The sequence below is a fragment of the Homo sapiens genome, chromosome 12, assembly GCF_000001405.40.
Source record: "Homo sapiens chromosome 12, GRCh38.p14 Primary Assembly".
Taxonomy (NCBI): Eukaryota; Metazoa; Chordata; class Mammalia; order Primates; family Hominidae; genus Homo; species Homo sapiens.
In genome coordinates this window covers 133,079,952-133,104,433 of record NC_000012.12, presented here as the reverse complement: position 1 = coordinate 133,104,433, position 24,482 = coordinate 133,079,952, and the positions used below count along the sequence as shown (strand labels likewise).

The window sequence follows — 24,482 nt, the reverse complement described above, 5'->3', positions numbered from 1 at the left end:
GTTGCGGTGAACCGAGATTGCGCCACTGCACTCCAACCTGGGTGACAGAGCGAGAGTCTGTCTCAAAAAAAAAAAAAAATTGTATCTTTAGGAAATTCTTATTAGGAAATCTACACTTAAGTGTATAGAGGTAAAAGGCCATAATATATAGAACTTATTCTCAAATGTTTCAGAAGAAAAATCATATGCCAAATGATAAGGCAAATGTGTACAAGCAAAGGTGAATGTGAACATTCTTTGTACTATTCTTATAACTTTTACATAAGCTTAAAATTCCCAATAACATCTAAAAACGCATTTGTCATTTCAGTCAAACATACGTTGGCACTTTGGGAAAAATGTTATCTGTTATTGCTCTCACAGTAAGCTTTTAAGGAAAGGTAAATAGACTGTTTCTTTGATGAAATATTTAATTCATATCTCAATAATGGATCAAGATCTGTACCTATATGGTAGGTATACAAAATACATGAAAGATCAAGATGGGGAGGCAGTGAAACAGCTTTTAAAATAATTGTGTCAATGCAGATAAAACATTAAATTCCTTTCTTGCCTCTTCTTTAAACCAATTCTGTATCTACTGAGTACCTAAATAAGAACTCTGTAGATGTGAACTGAGTAATTCTTTTCAGGAACTGAGAATATAAATAGGGAAAGAGAACACAGAAGAAAATATTGATATAAGACACAAGAGCAAGTTCATTATACTTAGGGTAAAAATTGTATAAAAGACCAGAGATAAGATTTAAAAATCCACTCCAATAAATAAAGGCTTCATCTAGAAATGCTTCAAGGAAACTTACTGGGAACTGAAATATACCAAGTGAACCTGGACATTAAAAAAAAATAGAAAGCTGTTGGGGCCGGGTGTGGTGGCTCATGCCTGTAATCCAACTTTGGGAGGCTGAGGCTGGAGGATCACTTGAGTCCTAGAGTTTGAGACCAGCCTAAACAACATAGTGACAAAGTGAGACCCCTGTCTTTACCCAAAAAAAAAAAAAAAAATTAAAACTTAGGCACGGTACTGTGCATCTGTACTTCTAGCTACTTGACAGAGTGACCTGGAAGGACTGCTTGAACCCAGGAATTCAGGCAACAGAATGTCACCCTGTCTTAAAACAAAGGGGGTGTTGGACAGGTAAGATGTTATTGTTAGATATGAAGAATAAGCTCAGGTGTTCTCTTGCATGGTAAGGTGATTATAGCTAATAATAATGTATCTTTCAAAATAGAAGAGAGAAGTTTTGAATGCTCTTATCACATAGAAATGATACACATTTGAAATGATACACATTTGAGATAATGGATTTGCTAATTAATTTTATATGATCATTATACAATGTATACATGTATTGAAACATCACATTGTACTTCATAAACGTACAGTCATTGTGTCAATTAAAAAGAAGAAAAAATGGGGTTAATTGCACAGATTTAGTGTATTTGCCATATTTCTCACAACAATGAGAGTAAAAAACACAATCAAAACAATGTTCGAGATATAAAAATAGAATGCTAATTACATAGCCCTTCACACACTTCCCTTCCTCAATCACCTCACCTCTTCCCATCTCCTACTATACCTCCATACTCTTTTTAGTAGATGCCAAATGGATTTGAGGAAACTCAGTACTTATTAAAAGCCTATAGATAGAAGGTTTCTTTTTTCTTTTTTTTTTTTTTAAGAAACGGAGTCTCGCTCTGTCACCCAGGCTGGGGTCCAGTGGCACGATCTTGGCTCACTGCAACCGCCGCCTCCCAGGTTTGAGCAATTCTCCTGCCTCAGCCTCCCGAGTAGCTGGGACTACAGGCACACGCTGCCACGCCTGGCTAATGGTTTATTTTATTTATTTATTTACTTATGTATCTTAGTAGAGATGGGGTTTCACTGTGTTGCCCAGGATGGTCTCAAACTCCTGAGCTCAGGCAATCTGCCCACCTCGGCCTCCCAAAGTGCTAGGATTACAGACATGAGCCACCAAGGTTTCATTCTTGATGTAATAAAGGATTCCTTTGATAAACCAGCAACTAATATACTCCAAGGAAATTTTTTAGATGTATTCACTCTTTTCTTGGGAAAACAGCCTAATACCTTCTATCACCAATGTTATTTAAGATCAATACAGGAAGAAGGAAATTATGGAAAATTATGACAGGGAGACTTGCAGTTTCCAGTCTGACTTACAAGGATCTTAGAAGTCACTACTCTGTCCTAAAAACAAGTGAAAAGTTGAACAAACTAAACTCCAGCCCCTTCTAGCCATCCTATCCCACATAAGGTGGAAAAAAAATTAAGAACTAATTAAGTTCTTAGTCCAGAAGCACAGGCTTACCATGATTTTAAGATTACAAAATGCTTCTCTTCCCTCAACACCTTACCACTACATTACAAAAGGCAGTTCCTTTTACTCAGTACATCATGTCCACCCTTCAATGTAAAATTATGAGGTATACTAAATGGCAAAAAAAAAAAAGTTTGAACAGACTGAACAAGCATCAGAATCTGAGACAGATACGGTAGGAATGTTGGAATTATCAGTCCAGGAACTTAAGAAACTATGATTAATATGCTAACAGTTTTACTGGGAAAAAGTATACAAGATGCAAGATGAGATGGATAATGTAAGGAGATAAATGAAAATTTTAAGAAAGAATCAAAAGGAAATACTAGAAATAAAAATTCCTGTAATGGGCCAGGTGCAGTGGCTCACGCCTGTAATCCCAGCACTTTGGGAGGTGGAGGCTGGCAGATCACAAGGTCAGGAGATCAAGACCATCCTGGCTAACACAGTGAAACCCGTCTCTACTAAAAATACAAAAAATTAGCCGGGCGTGGTAGCGACTGCCTGTAGTCCCAGCTACTCGGGAGGCTGAGGCAGGAGAATGGCGTGAACCCGGGAGGTGGAGCTTGCAGTAAGCTGAGATCGCGCCACTGCACTCCAGCCTGGGTGACAGAGCGAGACTCCATCTCAAAAGAATTCCTGTAATGAAAATAAAGAATGCCTTCAATGGGCTCATAAGTATTCTGTGTAGATATCTCAATAGAAACGTCCAAAACTGAAAAACAGATAAAATATTGAGGGAAAAAAAAGGAACAGATTATCCAAGAACTGTAGGACAACTACAAATGATGTAATATACGCATAACAGAAATACTAAAAAAGAAGGAAGAACAGAAGCAGTCTTTGAGGAAATAATGACGGAGAATTTCCCCAAATTAATGTCATAAACCAAACCACAGATGGAGGAAACACAGAGAACACCAAGCAAGGTAAGTGCCCTCTCGCCCCTCACAAAAACCCCTACAATTAGGTATATTATATTCCAATTTCAGAAAATCAAATACAAAGAAAAAAGAAGTCAAAGGAAAAAAACCTTACCTATAAAGGAACAAGGCTGGGAATTACAGTAGTCCTCTCCTCTGTAGTTTTTCACCACTTCAGTTACCTTTGTTCAATATTTAAAAGTATTAAATAGAAAATTCCAGAAATAATTCATGTTTAAACTGTACACCATTCTGAGTAGTGTGACGTCTCGCACCATCCTGCTCCACCCCACCCCGAATGTGAATTGTCCTGGCATATCTATGCTGCGAATGCTACCCACCTGTTAGTCACTTAGGAGCTGTCAGATCACCTGATGCAGTATCGTAGTGCTTGTGTTCAACTGACCCTTATTTTACTTAATCATGGCCCCAAAGCACAAGAATAGTGATGCTGACAATTCAGATATGCCAAAAAGAAGCTACAAAGTGCTTCCTTAATGGGAAAATGTGAAATTTCTTCTCCACTCAATAAGGAAAAACTCTCTCATATGCTGAGGTTGCTAAGATTACAGCAGAATGAGTCTTCTATTCATATGAAGAAGAAAAAAAGCAACTCAGCTAGTTTCGCTGTTGCACCTCAAACTGCTAAAGTTGCAACCACAAGTGCATAAGTGCTTAGTTAAGGTGTAAAAGGGCCAGGCAAGGTGGCTCATGCCTGTCATCCCAGAATTTTGGGAGGCCAAGACAAGGGGATTGCCTAAGTGCTTGAGGCCAGAAGTTTGCAACCAGCTGGGCAAGATATGGAGCACCCATCTCTAAAAAAATTTTTTTAAATTAGCCAAGTGTGGTGGTATGCACCTGTGGTCCCAGCTACTCAGGAGGTTGAGGTGAAAGGATCGCTTAAGCCCAGGAGCTCGAGGCTGCAGTGAGCTATGATAACACCACTGCACTCCAGCCTGGGTGACAAAGTAAGACCCTGCCAAAAAAAAAAAAAAAAAAAAAAAAAAACGGAAAAGGCATTAAATTTTTGGATGGAAGACATGAACAGAAACATACTCTAACCAATGGCAATGAGGTTCAATACTATCTGCATTTTCAGGCATCCATCGGAGGTTGTGGAAAATATCCCCTGAAGATAGGGGAGGATTACCGTACATCAGATCTTCTCAGAAACCAAGAAAAAGAACAAGGAGAGTGGAGTGAAATATTTGAAGTGCTGAGAGAAAAAAAAAAAACTCTCAAGCCCACAATTCTGTAGCCTGTGAGATTATCCTTCAAAAGTGAAGGAGAAATTACTCTCTTAGAAAAATAAAAGTTTTTTTAAGGAATTTGTTGCCAGTACACCTGCCCTGCAAGAAATGTTGAAAGAAGTTCTTCAGAGAGGTGGAAAATGATACAGGTCAGAAACTCAGACCTACATGAAGAAAGGAATAGCATTTAAGAAGAAATAAGTAAAAGTAAAATAAATATTTTATTTTTTTAAAAGACAGGGTCTTGCTTTATTGCCCAGGTTACAGAAGAGTGTTGGGATTATATTTCACTAGAGCCTCAAATTCCTGGGCTCAAGCACCTCCCACCCAAGCCTCCCAAAGTACTGAGATTCCAAGTGTGAGCCACTGCACCCAGCCTTAGTTTTCTTATTCTTAATTAACCTCACAGATAACAGCTTGTTCAAAATAATAACAATGTATTGGCCGGGCACAGTGGCTCATGCCTGTAATCCCAGCACTTTGGAAGGCTAAGGCCGGCAGATCACCTGAGGTCAGGAGTTTGAGACCAGCCTGGCCAACACGGTGAAACCCCGTCTCTACTAAAAATACAAAAATTAGCCGGACGTGGTGGTGTGCACCTGTAATCCCAGTTACCCAGGAAGGAAGCTGAGGCAGGACAATGTCTGGAACCCGGGAGGCAGAGGCTGCAGTGAGCCAAGATCATGCCATGGCACTCCAGCCTGGGTGACAGAGCAAGACTCCATCTCAAAAAATAAAATACAAGGCTGGGCACGTTGGCTCACGCCTGTAATCCCAGCACTTTGGGAGGCCGAGGCGGGCAGATCACAAGGTCTAGGAGTTGGAGACCAGCCTGGCCAATATGGTGACACCCCGTCTCTACTAAATATACAAAAATTAGCTGAGCGTGGTGGCTCGCGCCTGTAGTCCCAGCTACTTAGGAGGCTGAGGCAGAAGAATCGCTTAAACCCAGGAGGCGGATGAGCCAAGATAGTGCCACTGCACTCCAGCCTGGGTGACAGAGCAAGACTCTGTCTCAAAAATAAATAAATAAAATAAAATACAAAAAATTAGCCAGGCATGGTGGCACACACCTATAGTCCCAGCTACTCAGGAGGCTGATAGGAGAATCGCTTGGACCCGGGAGGCAGAGGTTGCAGTGAGCCAAGATCGTGCCACTGCACTCCAGCCTGGGCAACAGAGCGAGACTCTGTCTCAAAAAAATAATGATAATAACAATGTATTTTATGATTATAGCTTACATATAAGTGAAATGAATGACAACAGTGATACTAAGGACTGGAGGAAAAAATGAGAAATATTTTATTATAAGGTACTTGCACTACACATGAAGTGGCACAGTATTATTTGAAAGTAGGGTTGGATTATTTATAAATGTAGGCTGGGCATAGTGGCTCATGCCTGTAATCCTAGCACTTTGGGAGGCCAAGGCAGGTGGATTACTTAAGGTCAGGAGTTTGAGACCAGCCTGGCCAACATGGCAAAACCCTATCTCTACTAAAAATGCAGACCATTAGCCAGGCATGGTAGCACGCATGCCTGTAATCCCAGCTACTATGGAGGTTGAGGCAGGAGGATCTGTTGAACTCGGGAGGTGGAGGCTGCAGTGAGGAGAGATCATGCCACTGCATTCCAGCCTGGGTGACAGAACAAGACTCCATCTCAAAAAAAAGAATGTATATTGCAAACTTTAGGACAACCATGAGAAAAAGAAGTATAATCAATATGCTAAGAAAGAAGAGAAAATGAAATCATATAAAATGCTCAATAAAAAACACAAAAGGGGGCTGGGTGCGTAGGCTCACGCCTGTAATCCCAGCACTTTGGGAGGTCGAGGTGGGCAGATCACCTGAGGTCAGGAGTTAGAGACCAGCCTGGCCAACATGGTGAAATCCCGTCTCTACTAAAAATACAAAAATTAGCCAGGTGTGGTGGTGGGCACCTGTAATCTCAGCTACATAGGAGGCTGAGGCAGAATTGCTTGAACCCAGGAGGGGGAGGTCGCAGTGAGCCAAGATTGCGCCACTGCACTCCAGTCTGGGCTACAGAGTAAGACTTCATCTCAAAAACACACACACACACACACACACACACACACATGGTTAGATGTGGTGCCTCATGCATATAATCCCAGCACATTGGGAGACTGAGGCAAAAGGATCTCTTGAGCCCAAGAATTTGAGACAGCAGTGAGCTATGATTGTATCATTGCACTCTATCCTGGGAAATGGGGAGATCCTGTCTCTAAAGAAATAAGTAATTTTTTTTTTTTTTTTGAGACAGAGTCTCGCTCTGTTGCCCAGGCTGGAGTGCAGTGGTGTGATCTCGGCTCACTGCAACCTCCGCCTCCCGGGTTCACGCCATTCTCGTGCCTCAGCCTCCCGAGTAGCTGGGACTATAGGTGCCCACCACCACACCTGGCTAATATTTTGTACTTTTAGTAGAGACGAGGTTTCATCATGTTAGCCAGGATGGTCTCAATCTCCTGAACTCATGATCTGCCCACCTTGGCCTCCCATAGTGCCAGGATTACAGGCGTGAGCCACCACACCCAGCCAAAAATTAAATAAATTTTAAAAATGAAGGTCAACAGTCTAAATACACTAACTTAAGACATTGTCAGAGTGCATCACAAAACAAGACCCAACTATATGTTGTGTACAAGAAACCTAGTTTAAATATGAAGATGCATATAGATTTAGAATAAGTGAGTACAGAAAGGTATACCATACTAACACTTATCAAAAGAAAGAGACGTAGCTAAATTAATTTCAGACACAGCAGACTTCAGAGCAAGGTTAAAGAAGAGCATTGCATAATGATAAAGGAGTCAATACTCCAAGAAAGAAATCATAAAAATCCTTAGTGTGCATGTGCCTAACAACAAACCATCAAAATACATTAGGCAGAGCCTGATAAAACAGCAAGGAGAAACAGATGAATGCACTATTACACTTGGGGACTTCAACACCCCTCTTTCAGAACTGGACAGATCCAGCAGGCAGAAAATCGTTAAGAACACAGCTGAACTTAACAGCACCATCAATCAACTGATATCAGTAGACTACTTCATTCAACAGATTACACATTCATCTCCAATTCCCAAGACATTCACGAAGATAGACGCAATTCTTAGTCATAACACACATCTTAACAAATTTCAAAGAATAGAAATCATATAATATGTGCTGTCAGACCACAATGGAATGAAACCAGAAATCAGTAACAGAAAGATTAAAAGGAAAATCTCAAAACACATGGATATTGAACAACACACTTCTAAGTAACACAAACAAGAAATCTGAAACTTAAAAATATGTTGAACTAAATGAAAATGAAAATACAACTTATTTCAGTGGGATAATCAGTGGGATGCAGTGAAAGCAGTGCTTAAAGGAAAATTTATAGCATTGAATTAATATATTAGAAAAAATGTAAATTGTACGGAAAAGAGAGGGAGATCAGACTGTCACTGTACCTATGTAGAAAGGGAAGACATAAGAGACTCCATTTTGAAAAAGACCTGTACTTTAAACAATTGCTTTGCTGAGATGTTGTTAATTTGTAGCTTTCCCCAGCCACTTTGACCCAACCTGGAGCTCACAAAAACGTGTTGTATAAAATCAATGTTTAAGGGATCTAGGGCTGTGCAGGACGTGCCTTGTTAACAAAATGTTTACAAGCAGTATACTTGGTAAAAGTCATCGCCATTCTCTAGTCTCAATAAACCAGGGGCACATGCACTGCAGAAAGCCACAGGGACCTCTGCCCTTGGAAGCGGGGTATTGTCCAAGGTTTCTCCCCATGTGATAGTCTGAAATATGGCCTCGTGGGATGAGAAAGACCTGACCATCCCCCAGCCCGACACCCATAAAGGGTCTGTGCTGAGGTGGATTGGTAAAAGAGGAAAGCCTCTTGCAGTTGAGATAGAGGAAGGCCACTGTCTCCTGCCTGCCCCTGGGAACTGAATGTCTCGGTATAAAACCCGATTGTACATTTGTTCAATTCTGAGATAGTAGCAAAACCGCCCTATGGTGGGAGGCGAGATATGTTTGCAGTAATGCTGCCTTGTTATTCTTTACTCCGCTGAGATGTTTGGGTGGAGAGAAACATAAATCTGGATTACGTGCACATCCAGGCATAGTACCTTCCCTTAAACCTAATTATGACATAGATTCTTTTGCTCACATGTTTTTTGCTGACCTTCTCCTTATTATCACCCTGCTCTCCTACTACATTCCTTTTTGCTGAAATAATGAAAATAATAATAAAAACTGAGGGAACTCAGAGGCCGGTGCTGGTGCAGGTCCTTGGTATGCTGATGCCGGTCCCCTGGGCCCACTGTTGTTTCTCTATACTTTGTCTCTGTGTCTTCTTTCTTTTCTCAGTCTCTCATCCCACCCGACTAGAAATACCCACAGGTGTGGAGGGGCAGGCCACCCCTTCATCTGGCGCCCGATGTGGGGGCCTTTCTCTAGGGTGAAGGTATGCTAAGAACGTGAGCATTGAGGACAGCCGACGAGAGATTCCCAAGTACATCCACAGTCAGCCTTGCGGTAAGCTTGTGCGCTCGGAGGAATCCAGGGTAACAATGGGGCAAACTGCAAGTAAATATGCCTCTTATCTCAGCTTCATTAAAATTCTCTTAAGAAGAGGGGGAGTTAAAGCTTCTACAGAAAATCTAATTACGCTATTTCAAACAATAGAACAATTCTGCCCATGGTTTCCAGAACAGGGAACTTTAGATTTAAAAGATTGGGAAAAAATTGGCAAAGAATTAAAACAAGCAACTAGGGAAGGTAAAATCATCCCACGTGCAGTATGGAATGATTGGGCTATTATTAAAGCAACTTTAGAACCATTTCAAACAGAAGAAGTTAGAGTTTCAGTTTCTGATGCCCCTGAAAGCTGTGTAATAGATTGTGAAGAGGCAGAAACAGAGTTCAAGAAAGGAACAGAAAGTTCACATGGTAAAAATGTAGCAGAGCCAGTAATGGCTCGGTCAACGCAAAATGTTGACTACAATCAATTACAGGAGGTAATATATCCTGAAACATTAAAATTAAAAGGAAAAAGTCCAGAACCATCAGGGCTGTTGGGGTTAAAAGCACGATGGCCACCTCCTCCTCAGCCGAGTGAGTGCTGGGGGAGGGAGCCTGAAACTACGCTTGCTGCGACTTGGCTCGTGGCACTCATTATTGCCCAACCTGCAGTTCACTACGGTGAAGGAGCAATTCAGACTTGCCCTGCAGCTTCCTGTATGGGTCAAAGAGTGGCCGCTCTCTAAGGAAAAGTTGGGGGTGTTACATAAAATAGTTAAAAAACTATTTTAAATAGGATGTGTTCCACCCACTTTCTCTCTTTAGAATTCTCCTGTGTTTGTAATTCAGAAAAAATCAGGCAGATGGTGCATGCTAACTGATTTGAGAGCCATTAATGCAGCAATTCAACCCATGGGGCCTCTCCAACCTGGGCTGCCCTCTCCGGCCATGACCCCCAAAGATTGGCTTTTAATTATAATTGATTCAAAGGATTGCTTTTTTACCATTCCTGTGGCAAAACAGGATTTTGAAAAATTTGCTTTTACTATACCAGCCGTAAATAATAAAGAACCAGCCACCAGATTTCAGTGGAAAGTGTTGCCTCAGGGAATGCTTAATAGTCCAACTATTTGTCAGACTTTTGTAGCTCAAGTTCTTCAACCAATGAGAGACAAGTTTTCAGACTGTTGTATTATTCATTATGTTGATAATATTTTGTGTGCTCCAGAAACCAGAGACAAATTAATTGACTGTTACACATTTCTGCAGACAGAGGTTGCAAACGCAGGCCTGACAATATCATCTGATAAAATTCAGACCTCCACTCCTTTTCATTATTTGGGAAAGACCAACAGAGAGAAAAGTAAAACTGGGGAGAAAAAGAGAAAGAAAAAGAGACTAAGTGTGAAGGAGAGAGGACACAGGGGATAACAGACAGAGAGACTGGAAAAGACAGAGATCAGAGAAAGACACAGAAAGTGAGACTGGCGAGAGAGATCGTGTAAAAGGAAGAGACAGAGATTAGAGAGAGACACAGAAAGTGAAACTGGAGATAAAGTGTGTGAGAGAGAGAGAGAGGAAGAGAGAGACTGTAAGAGAAGGGAGACAAAAAGTAAGGAATATAACACTCCCCAGATACAACTTAATCTAGCACTCTATACTTTGAATTTTCTAAACATATATAGAAATCAGACCACTACTTCTGCAGAACAACATTTTACTGGTAAAAAGAACAGCCCACATGAGGGAAAACTAATTTGGTGGAAAGACAACAAAAATAAAACATGGGAAATAGGGAAGGTGATAACATGGGGGAGAGATTTTGCTTGTGTTTAACCAGAAAATAAATCAGCTTCCAGTTTGGATACTTACAACTTACAAAAGAAGTTTCCATCTACCAAGAAAGCGGAGCCGTCGACATGGGCCCAGCTAAAGAAGCTGACACAGTTAGCTGAAAAAAAGCCTGGAAAACACAAGAGTAACACAAACTCCAGAGAATATGCTGCTTGCAGCTTTAATGATTGTATCAACGGTGGTAAGTCTCCCTATGTCTGCAGGAGCCGCTACAACTAACTATACTTACTGGGCCTATGTGCCTTTCCCACCCTTAATTCAGACAATTACTTGGATAGATAATCCTATTGAAGTATACGTTAATAACAGTGCATGGGTACCAGGCCCCATGGATGACCGTGGCCCTGCCCAACCTGAAGAAGGAATGATGATAAACATTTCCATTGGGTATCATTATCCTCCTATTTGCCTGGAAAAAGCACCAGGATGCTTAATGCCTACAATCCAAAATTGGTTGGTATAAGTACCTACTGTCAATGCCACCAGTAAATTTACTTATCACATGGTAAGTGGAATGTCAATCGGGTCACAAATGAATAATTTACAGGATTCTTCCTATCAAAGATCATTAAAATTTAGGCCTAAGGGAAAACCATGCCCCAAGGAAATTCCAAAAGAATCAAAAGACCCAGAAGTCTTAGTTTGGGAACAATGTGCGGCTGATACTGCAGTGGTACTACAAAACAATAAATTTGGAACTATTATAGACTGGGCCCCTCGAGGCCAATTATATTATGATTGTACGGGCCAGGCCCACTCATGTTCACAGGCTCCATCTCTCTGGCCCACTAATCCGGCCTATGATGGTGATTTAACTAAAAGGCTAGACCAGGTTTACAGAAGGCTAGAATCACCCTATCCATGGAAATGGGGTGAAAAGGGAATTTCATCACCCCGACCAAAGTTAGTTAGTCCTGTTGTTGGTCCTGAACACCCAAAATTATGGAAGCTCACTGTGGTCTCCTACCACATTAAAATTTGGTATGGAAATCAAGTTATGGAAACAAGAAATCACAAGCCATATTACACTATTAACCTAAATTCCAATCTGACAATTCCTTTGCAAAGTTGTGTAAAACCCCCTTATATGCTAGTTGTAGGAAACATAGTTATTAAACCAGATGTCCAAACTATAACCTGTGAAAATTGTAGATTGTTTACTTGCATTGATTCAACTTTTGATTGGCAGCATCGTATTCTGTTAGTGAGGGCAAGAGAGGGTGCGAGGATCCCTGTGTCCATGGACCGACCGTGGGAGGCTTCTCCATCCGTACATATCTTAACAGAAGTATTAAAAGGAGTTCTAACTAAATCTAAAAGATTCATTTTTACTTTGATTGCAGTGATTATGGGTCTTATTGCAGTCACAGCTACTGCTGTGGCTGCTGGAATTGCTTTACACTGCTCTGTTCAAACTACAAAATATGTGAATAATTGGCAAAAGAATTCCTCAAGACTGTGGAATTCTCAGACTCAAATAGATCAAAAATTAGCAAATCAAATTAATGATCTTAGACAAACTGTCATTTGGATGGGAGATAGGCTCATGAGCCTGGAATATCTTTTTCAGTTAGTGTGACTGGACTACGTCAGATTTTTGTATTACACCTCGAGCCTATAATGAATCTGAACATCACTGGGACATGGTTAAACGCCGTCTACAAGGAAGAGAAGACAATCTTACTTTAGATATTTCCAAATTGAAAGAACATTATTTTTGAAACATCAAAACCCAGTTAAATCTGGTGCCAGAAACTGAGACAATGGTAAAAGCTGTTGATAGCCTCACAAATCTTAACCCTGTCACTTGGGTTAAAACCACTGGAAATTCCACTATTACAAATTTTGTATTAATCCTTGTATGTCTGTCCTTTCTATTATTAGTCTACAGGTGTATACAACAGCTCCGGAGAGACAGCGACCAGCGAGAACGGGTCATGATGACGATGGCGGTTTTGTCAAAAAGAAAAGGGGGAAATGTAGGGAAAAGAAAGAGAGATCAGACTGTCACTGTGCCTATGTAGAAAGGGAAGACATAAGAGACTCCATTTTGAAAAAGACCTGTACTTTAAACAATTGCTTTGCTGAGATGTTGTTAATTTGTAGCTTTCCCCAGCCACTTTGACCCAACCTGGAGCTCACAAAAACATGTGTTGTATAAAATCAATGTTTAAGGGATCTAGGGCTGTGCAGGACGTGCCTTGTTAACAAAATGTTTACAAGCAGTATACTTGGTAAAAGTCATCGCCATTCTCTAGTCTCAATAAACCAGGGCACAGTGCACTGCAGAAAGCCGCAGAGACCTCTGCCCTTGAAAGCAGGGTATTGTCCAAGGTTTCTCCCAATGTGAGAGTCTGAAATATGGCCTCGTGGGATGAGAAAGACCTGACCGTCCCCCAGCCCGACACCTGTAAAAGGTCTGTGCTGAGATGGATGAGTAAAAGAGGAAAGCCTCTTGCAGTTGAGATAGAGGAAGGCCACTGTCTCCTGTCTGCCCCTGGGAACTGAATGTCTCGGTATAAAACCCGATTGTACATTTGTTCAATTCTGAGATAGTAGCAAAACCGCCCTATGGTGGGAGGCGAGATATGTTTGCAGTAATGCTGCCTTGTTATTCTTTACTCCGCTGAGATGTTTGGGTGGAGAGAAACATAAATCTGGATTACATGCACATCTAGGCATAGTACCTTCCCTTAAACCTAATTATGATATAGATTCTTTTGCTCACATGTTTTTTGCTGACCTTCTCCTTATTATCACCCTGCTCTCCTACTACATTCCTTTTTGCTGAAATAATGAAAATAATAATAAAAACTGAGGGAACTCAGAGGCCGGTGCTGGTGCAGGTCCTTGGTATGCTGAGTGCTGGTCCCCTGGGCCCACTGTTGTTTCTCTATACTTTGTCTCTGTGTCTTCTTTCTTTTCTCAGTCTCTTGTCCCACCCGACTAGAAATACCCACAGGTGTGGAGGGGCAGGCCACCCCTTCATAAATCAATCATCTACGTTCTATGTCAGGAAATTTTAAAAAGAGCAAATTAAATTCAAAGGAAGAAGAAAAGAAATAAAAATCAGAGCAAAGGACCCAGGTGCAGTGGCTCACACCTGTAATCCCAGCACTTTGGGAGGCCAAGGTGGGTAGATCATTTGAGGACAGGAGTTCAAGACCAGACTGGACAACATAGCAAGACTCTGTCTTTACAAATAAAAAATAAAATATTTAGTCAGGAGTGTTGGCATGTGTCGGTACTTATAGCTACTTGGAAGCTAAGGCAGGAGGAAGGCTTGAGCCCAGGAAATTTACGTTGCAGTGAGCTACGATTGTGGCACTGCATTCCAGCCTAGGTGACAGAGCAAGATCCTGTCTCAAAAAAATAGGCTGGGTGTGGTGGCTCACATCTATAATCCCGGCACTTTGGGAGGCTGAAGTGCGTGGATTACTGGAGGTCAGGAGTTCAAGACCAGCCTGGCCAACATGATGAGACCCCATCTCTACTAAAAATACAAAATTAGCTGGGCGTGGTGGCGTGCACCTGTAATCCCAGCTACTCAGGAGGCTGAGGCAGAAGAATCGCTTGAACCCGGGAGGCAGAGGCTGCAGTAAGTGAGATAGTGCCATTGCACTCCAGCCTGGGCAAAAGGATAGAAACTCTGTCTCAAAAAAAAAAAAAAGCACAAATATTGATGAAATTTACAATAGGCTATTAATAGAGAAAAGCAACCAAATCAACCTAGTTCTCTGAAAAGATAATTAAAATCAATAAGCCTCTAGCCAGGCTAATTAAGAAAAAAAGATGTCATACATTATTAATATCAGCAATGAAAGGGGGCCTCAGTACAAATTTCATGGGCATAAAAAGGATAATAAAGGAATACCATGAATAACTCTGCCCACAAATTTGATAACATAGCTAAAATGGTCCAATTCCTTGAAAGACATACATTGCTAAAGCTCACACAATAAGGAGGAAACTATCTGAATAGGCCTGTATCTAGCAAAGAAATCAAATGAGGCTGCGTGTGGTGGCTCACACTTACAATCCTAGCACTTTGGGAGGCCAAGGTGGGCAGATTGCTTGAACCTAGGAATTCAAGACTAGCCTGGGCAACATGGTGAAACCTCGTCTCTGCAAAAAATACAAAAATGAGCTGGGCATGGTGGAGCGCACCTGTAGTCCCAGCTACTTGGGAGGCTGAGACGGGAGGATCACCTGGGCCGGGGGAAGTTGAGGCTGCAGTGAGCCATGATTGCACCACTGCACTCCAGCCTTGACAACAGAGTGAGACCCTGCCTCGAAAAAAAAAAAAATCAAATGAATAATTAATAACTTTCAAAAATGAAAGCATCAGGATTCACTGGTAAATTCTACCAAACATTTAAGGAAGAAATTATACCAATCCCCTCAATCTCTTCCAGACGACAGAAACGGAGGGAAAACTTCCCCACTCATTCTATGAGGCCAGCACTGACCTAGTATCAAAACCAAAGGAATTATAAGAAAAGAAAATGACAGGCCAGTATCTCTCATGAACATAAATGTAAAAATTCTCAACAAAATACTAGTAAATTTAATCCAACAATGTATAAAGGGAATTATACTCCATGCCCAAGTGGAATTTATCCCAGGTATACAGGGCTGGTTCAACATTTGAAAATCAATTAATGTAAAATATAATCCATCACATCAACAGGCTAAAGAAGTAAAATCACATAATATCAATAGAAGCAATAAAAGCATTAGCAAAATCCAACAACCAATCGTGATAAAAAAATAAAATCACATGATAATATCAATCATTCATTGCTGACGGGAATGCAAAATGGTACAATCACTTTGGAAGACATTTTGGCAGTTACTTACAAAACTAAATATATTCTTACCATATGACCCAGCAGTCACACTCCTTGGTATTTACCCAAATGAAATGAAAACTTATGCCCATACAAAAACCTGCACACAGATGTGCTTTATTCAAAATTGTCAAAACTTTGGAAGCAACCACAATGTCCTTAAGTAGGTGAACATATAAGTAAACTGCAGTACATGCAGACAATGGAATATTATTCAGTGCTAAAAAGAAAGAGCTATCAAGCCATGAAAAGACATGTAACTAAAATGCATATTACTATGTATTAGTATGTGAAAGAAGCCATTTTGAAAAGGTTAATTCCAACTCTCTGACATTCTGGAACAGGCAAAACTATGGAGACAGTAACAAAAATCAGCGGATGCCAAGGGTTGGGAATGGGTGATTAGGCAGAACACAGAGAATTTTTAGTGCAGTGAAATTATTCTATAAACAATAATGGTATTTGCAGGAAAAAATCTAGAAAGATTTAGAGCCTTCCTTCCTTCCTCCCTTCTTTCTTCCTTCCTTTTTCTTTCTTTTTTTTTTTTAGACAGAGTCTTGCTGTCGCCCAGGCCGGAGTGCAATGGCATGATCTCAACTTACTGCACCCTCTGCCTCCTGGGCTCCAGCGATTCTTCCACCTCAGCCTCCCGAGTAGCTGGGATTACAGGCGCACACCACCACACCCGGCTAATTTTTGTATTTTTAGTAGAGACGGGTTTCACCATGTTGGCCAAGCTGGTCTTGAACTCCTGACCTCAGGTGATCTGCCCACCTCGGCCTCCCAAAGTGCTGGGATTACAGGTGTGAGCCACCACACTCAGCCGTATTATTTGTATAATAAAGATAAAGAGATATAAATATACAAATTGACTAGCATTCCTATAGAGAAGCAATATAGAAAAGAAACTGGGGAAAGTTGCTTAAGAAGAAATAACAGGTATGCAACAATTCTACAAAGAAAATTCAAAATTTTAAGAAGCTGTGCAGGTAACTCCTAAATGTCTACTTTAGTTCAGCATCAGCATCATCTGGTCATTTGTTAGAAATGCAAATTCTGGCTGGTCTGAATGCAGTGGAGTTTATAAGTCATTGATAACAACTAGTTATAGATTTCTTTGTTTCTCCTCCACTCCCGCTTTTTTTTTTTGACTAGCCAAAAAAAGAAAGAAATGCAAATTATTTGGTTCCACCCCAAACCTACCAATTTAGAATTTCCAGGGTGGGGCCTAGGAATATGCATTTGAAGCCTCTTGACTATGATACTCAATTGCCTACTGGATTTATATATTCGTATCCCACAGAGACCCAAACTCAACAAGTCTCAATATAATCTTCCCTCCCCTACAAACTTGCTGATCCTTTTTTTTTTAACTAAGGAAACAATCATACCACCAAAAAGACTAATGTCAACCACGACTTCTCAGTCTTCTTCATGTCTGTCATCTAGCCAATCGCCAGGTCCTTTTGAGTCTACTTCTTCACTTTATTTCCAATCTGTCTACCTCCCTTAGCTCCCTGGATGCCTACATAGTTCAGGTAATGATTAGATCTACACTAGGTTGCAGCAACAACTCTTAAATGGTAGCCCTGTTTACTTAAAATAATTCAGAGAAAAAAAGGGGCAGGGGTAAGACAAATACAATAAAATGTTAATCATTAAATCTGTAACTAAGGCTGTATAGATTTGAGCAAAGAGAAAAATGAAAGAGAATTGAGAACCTAGAAACATACAAACACAAAAATTGACATTTAACTAATTTCAAAACAGTGAGGAAAATGGTTGATCTATCAATAAATGGTACTATGATAACTGGATCTCCATACAGAAGATAGCAAAGTTGACTACTAACTCACATGACAAAATAAAGTGAACGATGGATCGAAATGTGAATGGCAAAATAAGTAGGCTTTTTTAAAAGAAAATATAGGAAGATGTCTTCATCATAATCTCTTAGGAGGGAAAGATTTCTTAAACAGGCTAAAAAAATACTAAACATAAAAGAAAAGATTGATACATCTGACTACACTAAAATTAAGAATTTCTGTTCATCAAAAGAAGCTATGAAGGTTAAAAAAAAGCCACATGTGAAAGATTTTGAAGTACATACAATTAGCAAAGGATTTCTATCTAAAATATATAACTTCTACAAATCAATAAAAGAATCCAATAGATACAAGAGAAAAATCTTCAAGATTCACTTCGCAGATGGGGATACCTAGATGTTCAATAAACATACGAAAAGGTGCTCAACTTTATTAATGGCCTGACAAATGCAAGTTTAAACCACAAGCTACCACTGCACACCCTTCTGATAGATGAAAATTACGATGCCCAACAGGCATTCACTTATTGGGTTTGCGGGAGTATAAGTCAGTCAAGGGTCTTTGGAAAACATTTTGGCATTATCTAATAACATAAAGAGGTGCATTATCCTCCAACTTGGCAATTCCAGTCCTAGATATAAACCACAGAGAAACTTGTGCCAATATGTATCAGGATACATGCACAGTAACAGCATTGCTTGCAGTATCTCTAAATGTGCAAAAAACTTAAGAAGCCCTCAATAGTAGAACGAATAAATTGTGGTATACTTATCGTACAATGAAAAAAACTATTAGAGCAATTACGTTAAAAATTCTTTTAACTTTTAAAAAAATAGGGTCTTGCTGTATTGCCCAGGCTGGAGTGCAGTGGCACAATCATAGTTCACTGCAGCCTGAAACTCCTAGGCTCAAGTGGTTCTCTTACCTCAACCTCTCAAGTAGCTAGGACTATGGGCACATGCCACCATGCCTAGCTAGCTTTTAAAATTTTTTTGTGGAGACAGGGTCTCTCTATGTTGCCCAGGCTTGTCTTCAACTCCTGGCCTCAAGTGATTCTCCCAACTCAGCCTCCCAAAGTATTGGAATTATAGGCATGAGCCACCATGCACAGCCAAAAACATTTTAAAAATAATTTTGAGAAGCAAATCAATAAATACATTATAAATCTTTCTATATAAAGTTAACAAACACATGAACCTCAACTATAGTGAACACAAATGCAAAGAGCTGATGGAACAATAAAGAAAACCAAGGAAGCTACTTTACCATAAAAGCAAAGAGATGATTAGCTTTATTGGAGGGTTAGGATGAGCACACAGAAGGCTCTCAAGGAACCTAGCAGTATTGTGTTTATTGACCTTGGTCACGTGACTGTTTGCCTTATAATAATTTATTAAGCTGTACATGTATGTTCATGCATTACTTCTGTCTGTGTGTGATATTTCACAATGAAAAAAATTTTCAAAATAAGATCCTGGAAGGAATACATAAAAACTTCAAGAACTGTGTTAAAGTAGTAGAATTAGGCCAGGCACAGTGGCTCACACCTGTAATCCCAGCACTTTGGGAGGCCTAGGCGGGCAGATCACTAGGTTAGGAGTTTGAGACCAGCCTGGCCAACATGGTGAAACCCCATCTCTACTAAAAATACAAAACTTAGCCAGGCATGGTGGCAGGTGCCTGTAGTCCCAGTTACTCAGGGGGCTGAAGCAGCAGAATCACTTGAACCCAGACAGCGGAGGTTGCAGTAAGCTGAGATCGCGCCATCGCACTCCAGCCTAGGGGGCAAGAGCGAGACTTCGTCTCAAAAAAAAAAAAAAAGTAGTAGAATTAGAGGCAACTTCCATGTTTTCCTTTTTCCTCACTTCCTTTGTACATGCTTTTATCAGTTTTGTTATTTTTTAATTCAAAAAGGACATTTTTCCTCATTTGCTCCCACTAAACAAAGTTTCCCTGCACCTGTTCCATCTCACTGCTTCAGCCCACATTAGTACCTCCTTTGCAAATCCTTCTGGACATTCTCCTAAGGGACTCCGCAGCATTTCATATGAACCACTACTCTTCCTTAAAGCTACAGCTCAGTTTTCATGACATCTGTTTCATCAGTCCTAAGCTGCTGCCTCCTAAAAAGTACGCATTCCTCCTTTTCTCTCTAAAAATCAGTGTACCTCCATTAAACATGTGCTATAGAAGCAACTATAGAATTTACAGAACTTACAGAATTCATCACCTTTTCTCCAAAACTGACCCTTTTTCTGTCTTTTGTTTCTCTAGTACTATCTGCATCCAAATTACCCAAGCCTAAAACGACAACTGGAAATTCCTTTTTTCACTGCTGTACTGCTAATTTGAGGATATCTAATGCAAGCTATTTAGACACATCACTAGGCCATGAATTCCTTGATAGTTATTACACTTTTGCACACTCTCTAGTCTCTGTAGCACTTAATAGAAAGTCTTGAGAAAGATTTGACAAGATTAAAATTTCTGTAAATATTAAGAGTGTATGTGAAGGAATAAATAAATATCAATTAATCAAAGAGTAATGAATTAATCTTTTCAAGGTGATTAAATAGAACAGCAAAATATGTACTTTTAATTTTTTTTTTCTTTCTCAGGTTGAATTCAGGCAATAGAAATGTATGTCCATTTGAAGAAAGAAAGGAAAGAAAAAACAAAAAGAAATGAAATTCAGAGACCAGACAGAACTAACAATGGGAACAAAAAAGACACCTGTGAGAAAGAAAAGAAAGTATAAGGTGAGAACTGGTCGACTATGTCAGCTGTTAGGTAATATAGAAAAAACAGAATTGGGTATGAAGTAGTGTTTTATGGAGTTGTAAGTGAAACTTCAGTCTTTATACCTCTGGTATCTTTTTTTTTTTTTTGAGATGGAGTCTTGCTCTGTCTCCCAGGCTGCAGTGCAGTGGCGCAATCTCGACTCACTGCAAGCTCTGCCTCCCGGGTTCACGCCATGCTCCTGCCTCAGCCTCCCAAGTAGCTGGGACTACAGGCACCCGCCACCAAGCCCGGCAAATTTTTTTGTATTTTTAGCAGAGATGGGGTGTCACCGTGTTAGCCAGGATGGTCTCGATCTCCTGACGTCGTGATCCACCCACCTCGGCCTCCCAAAGTGCTGGGATTACCGGCATGAGCCACCGTGCCTAGCGTATCTCTAGTATCTTTAAGGGAAAATTTTCCAATCAACATATTAAAAAGTATTCCTTTTTCATTGACTAATTGAGTGGTTTTAAAAAATTTCCCCATCAGCTTCCAACTCACTCACCTGAAAACAGATCTCTTTTCACTTCCCTTTTCCCCAGCCAGGGTTCTTTCCCTTGCTCCAATAAGGAAACCACATCTGGCTTAGAAATGGAAAGACCTGCTTGCAGAAAATGAAATAAATTCAAGATCAGTCATTGAATCCTAAGAGGGGCCACAAAGGAAATGTCAGATGTAAGTTTTTAAAATGTCTAAAAATAAGGTGCAGTTACGTCCCCATCTTAAAACTAATTTTAAGAAACCCCATACCTCTCTTGGGAATATTCAGCCAGATAATTATAACAGCCACCCTAACGGTCAAATTTTGCCTTGAGGGAGATGAAGAAGAATACTTACCCAGTGAGACCAGATGGCCATAGTTCTCCAACATTACACATCTGTACAAATCTCTTTGAGCAGGCTGAAGCCATTTCCACTCCTCCTGGGAGAAGTCTATGGCCACATCTCTGAATGTCACTGACCCCTGAAATGACGGACAGATATTTGCATGACCAGCACGCATGCCCCCAAACTCCCTCATCAAGGAATAAAATGAGTCTCACTGTGGAGGTTAGGCAATGTGTCTAAGTAGTAACAGTGAGAGTTTTCAGAATTCTGAGTAATTATATAATGAAGAGCCTAGCTCTTGTGTTTTGTTGTATAACTGGAGAAAAGGAGAAAAACATAAATTATCTGTCCTGAGATAATTTACAATTTTATTCAAAATAAAGGATTATACACATGAACAATATGGATTTTTGGCATTGGTTGTAAAAATTCTTAAGATTTTACAGTATTCCTTTATGTTAATAAACAATGTATATTTTCCTTAATACCAGCCTATTTTAATATAATTCAGCCAGAATTTCTTCAGGGTAATAATTCGCTACAGCAGATAACAGCACCACCCTTCAAATGGGGCATACAGTCTCAAGTTTGTCACAGTTATCCCTAATCCTAAAGAAATACCTGTGAAACTTAGTGGTAATTTTAGCAATGTCACAGAACAAGGAGGATAAGCAATAAAGAATCTTGATTCCGCAAGAAGAGAATGTAATACCTCCCAGGACAGAACCTAAAGCACTTTCCCTCAGAGTTAGGGGGAATAATATATAAGCCCTTGCTTTGCAGCCTGGTTTTGCACCACTTGAGTGATCCACATTGATCTATAAGGCATGAATGGGAATTTAAAATGTCTCAAACTAGTAGCAGTCCCAGATGGATGGCAGTTATAATTTACAGTTTTGAAGTTTAATAAAAAAGTGATTAAAGACTGTTGACTAATAAAGCAGCTGTTTCCTACACAGCAAGATCTGCAGCAGAGGTGGAAATTGGATTCCCCAGCAAAACTCAGAGAACCTCTGAATTTGGAGAGAAGTATGACAAAAAGTAGGATAAAGAAGTGGAACTGAAATGAGGGACTCATTTTGAATAGTTGACCCTGTTATCCCCACTGCTGTGAAGCACAATTACCAGCCAAGCCCTTAGGCCAAATCAAAATAAAAATGTGTTCCTTATGTCATGTCTGAAAAATGAGCTCTGAGGATTCGGAGATTTTGTTTTGGTCACTTCTGCATCCTCAAGACTTAGAATGAGTTGCACATTAGAATCACTTGGAAGGACTGTTAGACTGCTGGGCCAAATTCTCAGTTTCTGATTCAGAAGGTCTGGGGTAGGACTCAAGAATATTCATTTCTAATACGTTCTCAGATGATGCTGATACTGCTGGTCCAAGGATCACACTGTGGGAACCACTGAAAGTAGAGGTTCAGTAAAAACATATTGAATAAATGAATAAAGGGGCGCTGGAGTAACGTAAAGCACTCCTCATTCTAACACTGTGGGAAAGAGGAGGCGATGTAACAGCTGGCACCCTACCCTCTCACCCTAAAACATGCCAGCCAGGTCAGAAACCCCGCCCACATCTGGATAGCTTCCTGTCACTCTCTTCATGTATACTTAAGTATAAGCACCTGAAAAGGAGGAACAAGGGACAGGGTCCTGGGGTTCTGCCAGGCAGGTGGTTGTAGGAGAAAGAAAGCCACGTCCCAAGTCCTGAAAAACACGGCTGCACTTCACAAAGAAAAGCGGAAACAGGCCAAGTGGGTTGGCTCACTTGAGGCCAAGAGTTTGAGGTTACAGGATGCTATGATCGCTCCACTGCCTGGGCGACAGGAGGAGACCCTGTCTCTCTCTTAAAAAAAAAATAAAAATTTATATATATATATATATATATATTTATCAATCATTAGCTTACCTGAGACATAGCTCACAGAAGGGAAGGAGGAGATCAGAAAAGTGTAAAATGGCAGACCTGGCAGAGAGAGAAAGGAGCCCTGAGCGAACAGGCCAGCTAGGCCGCGCCCAAGTCACTAGATTCCCGCACTGGGGATTCCCGTGGCCCCCGCTCCGCGCCTCCCACGTAGAGAGCAGGGCGCCCTGAGAGATCGCGCTTGGACCACTGGCGCCGGCTTTCTCTTCCTGCCACGGCGCGCCTCCCCAGAACCCCCTCACCTAACAGTGGCCACAGAAGGATGCGTTTCCGTGGTGCTTTCCGCCAGGTGGGCGTAGCGTTCCAGGGCTCCGGACCGAGTCACCGCCCGGGGCCATCCGGCGCAGACCGGGAGGGCTCCTTTCGTTGCCTACAGCCAACACAGGCCAGACGCTCGGCGCCGCCCCCCAGGGCCCCTCCGCGGGCGTCGCAGGAATTGCGTCTTCAGAAGCCTCGCCGACGTCACCCCAACCAGGCCGCCGGCCTCAAGAAACTACAATTCCCAGAAACCAATGCGGCCCTGCGCGCAAGGGCTTTTCGTTCCTACTGGAACTCCCAGAGCGCCTCGCTGCCGTGCCCAGAACGCCAGGAGACAAAGAACGAGGGCCTGCGACAACTACAATTCCCAGAGCCATCGCGGCCCGGTGCGCCAGAGCATAGGGGCTATCCTCCCACGCCCAGAGCCGAGAAACAAAGAACCCGGGTCCTAGGCAACTACATTTCCCAGAAATAACCGCGGCCCCCCGCGGAAGAGTACACAGACCTTTGTGTTCCTATAACTGCCAGAGTGTCTCGCGGCCAAGCGCACAACTAGCGGAGAAACGAAGAACGTGGAACTCAGGCCACCACACTTCCCAGAAACAACCGCGACCCCGCGCGAGAGAGCATATGGCTTTCCCCGCCCCACTGCAACTCCCAGGGTGCTTTGAGGCCAAGCGCACATCATCGAAAGACAAAGAACACGAGCTTCAGGCAACTACACTTCCCAGAACCTCTAGCGACCGTGCGCAAAAGAGCGGAGGACGTTCTTCCCCTACTACGACTCCCAGAGTGCATCGTGGCCACGCCCAAAGCCGGAAGACAACGCAGAGCTCTGGCGACTACATTCCCCCAAACTCCTGCGCCGCACGCCAGAGGGTATAGGGTTTTCCTCCCCTACTACGACTCCCACAGTGCTTCGCTGGCGTGCACACACGGCCCAGAGACAAGGAACTGGAGACTCAGGTGACTACACTTCCCAGAACACACCGCGGCCCAGCAAGAGCCCAAGACCGCCTCTATTAAACAACTAGGATTCTTAACAACGACTGTGGAGTCAGTACTTCAGTCTAAGACCTTTTGCTACTGGAAAGGGGTCCGGATC

At 41.5% G+C, this 24,482-nt stretch overlaps 1 protein-coding gene across 9 annotated transcripts in view, besides 2 other annotated features; it reads right to left on the bottom strand.

The window, feature by feature from the left end:
* ZNF140 (zinc finger protein 140) overlaps window positions 1-24,009 on the bottom strand; it is a 27,004-nt gene extending 2,995 nt beyond the window's left edge. For 2 of the 9 annotated variants that reach the window (NM_003440.4, NM_001300777.2), the window contains exons 1-4: window positions 23,362-23,511; window positions 23,105-23,161; window positions 21,205-21,331; window positions 20,873-20,968 (exon numbers count right to left, since the gene is read on the bottom strand). In NM_003440.4, the coding sequence (NP_003431.2) occupies window positions 20,873-20,968; window positions 21,205-21,331; window positions 23,105-23,113 (232 nt within the window). In that variant the 5' untranslated portion in view covers window positions 23,114-23,161; window positions 23,362-23,511. Of the gene's footprint in view, window positions 1-3,380; window positions 3,448-10,928; window positions 11,020-20,872; window positions 20,972-21,204; window positions 21,332-22,820; window positions 23,033-23,104; window positions 23,162-23,361; window positions 23,512-23,882 lie in introns of those variants that run through there. The other 7 variants (NM_001300778.2, XM_011534834.4, XM_011534835.4 and 4 more) reach the window with 7 other exon arrangements.
* Window positions 23,523-23,722: an enhancer, noted in NCBI's record as "active region_7399". NCBI's record gives its function as "activates an Ori minimal core promoter by ATAC-STARR-seq in GM12878 lymphoblastoid cells {active_cell/tissue: GM12878}" and the evidence as "EXISTENCE:reporter gene assay evidence [ECO:0000049][PMID:35858748]".
* Window positions 23,793-24,482: an enhancer, noted in NCBI's record as "active region_7398". NCBI's record gives its function as "activates an Ori minimal core promoter by ATAC-STARR-seq in GM12878 lymphoblastoid cells {active_cell/tissue: GM12878}" and the evidence as "EXISTENCE:reporter gene assay evidence [ECO:0000049][PMID:35858748]".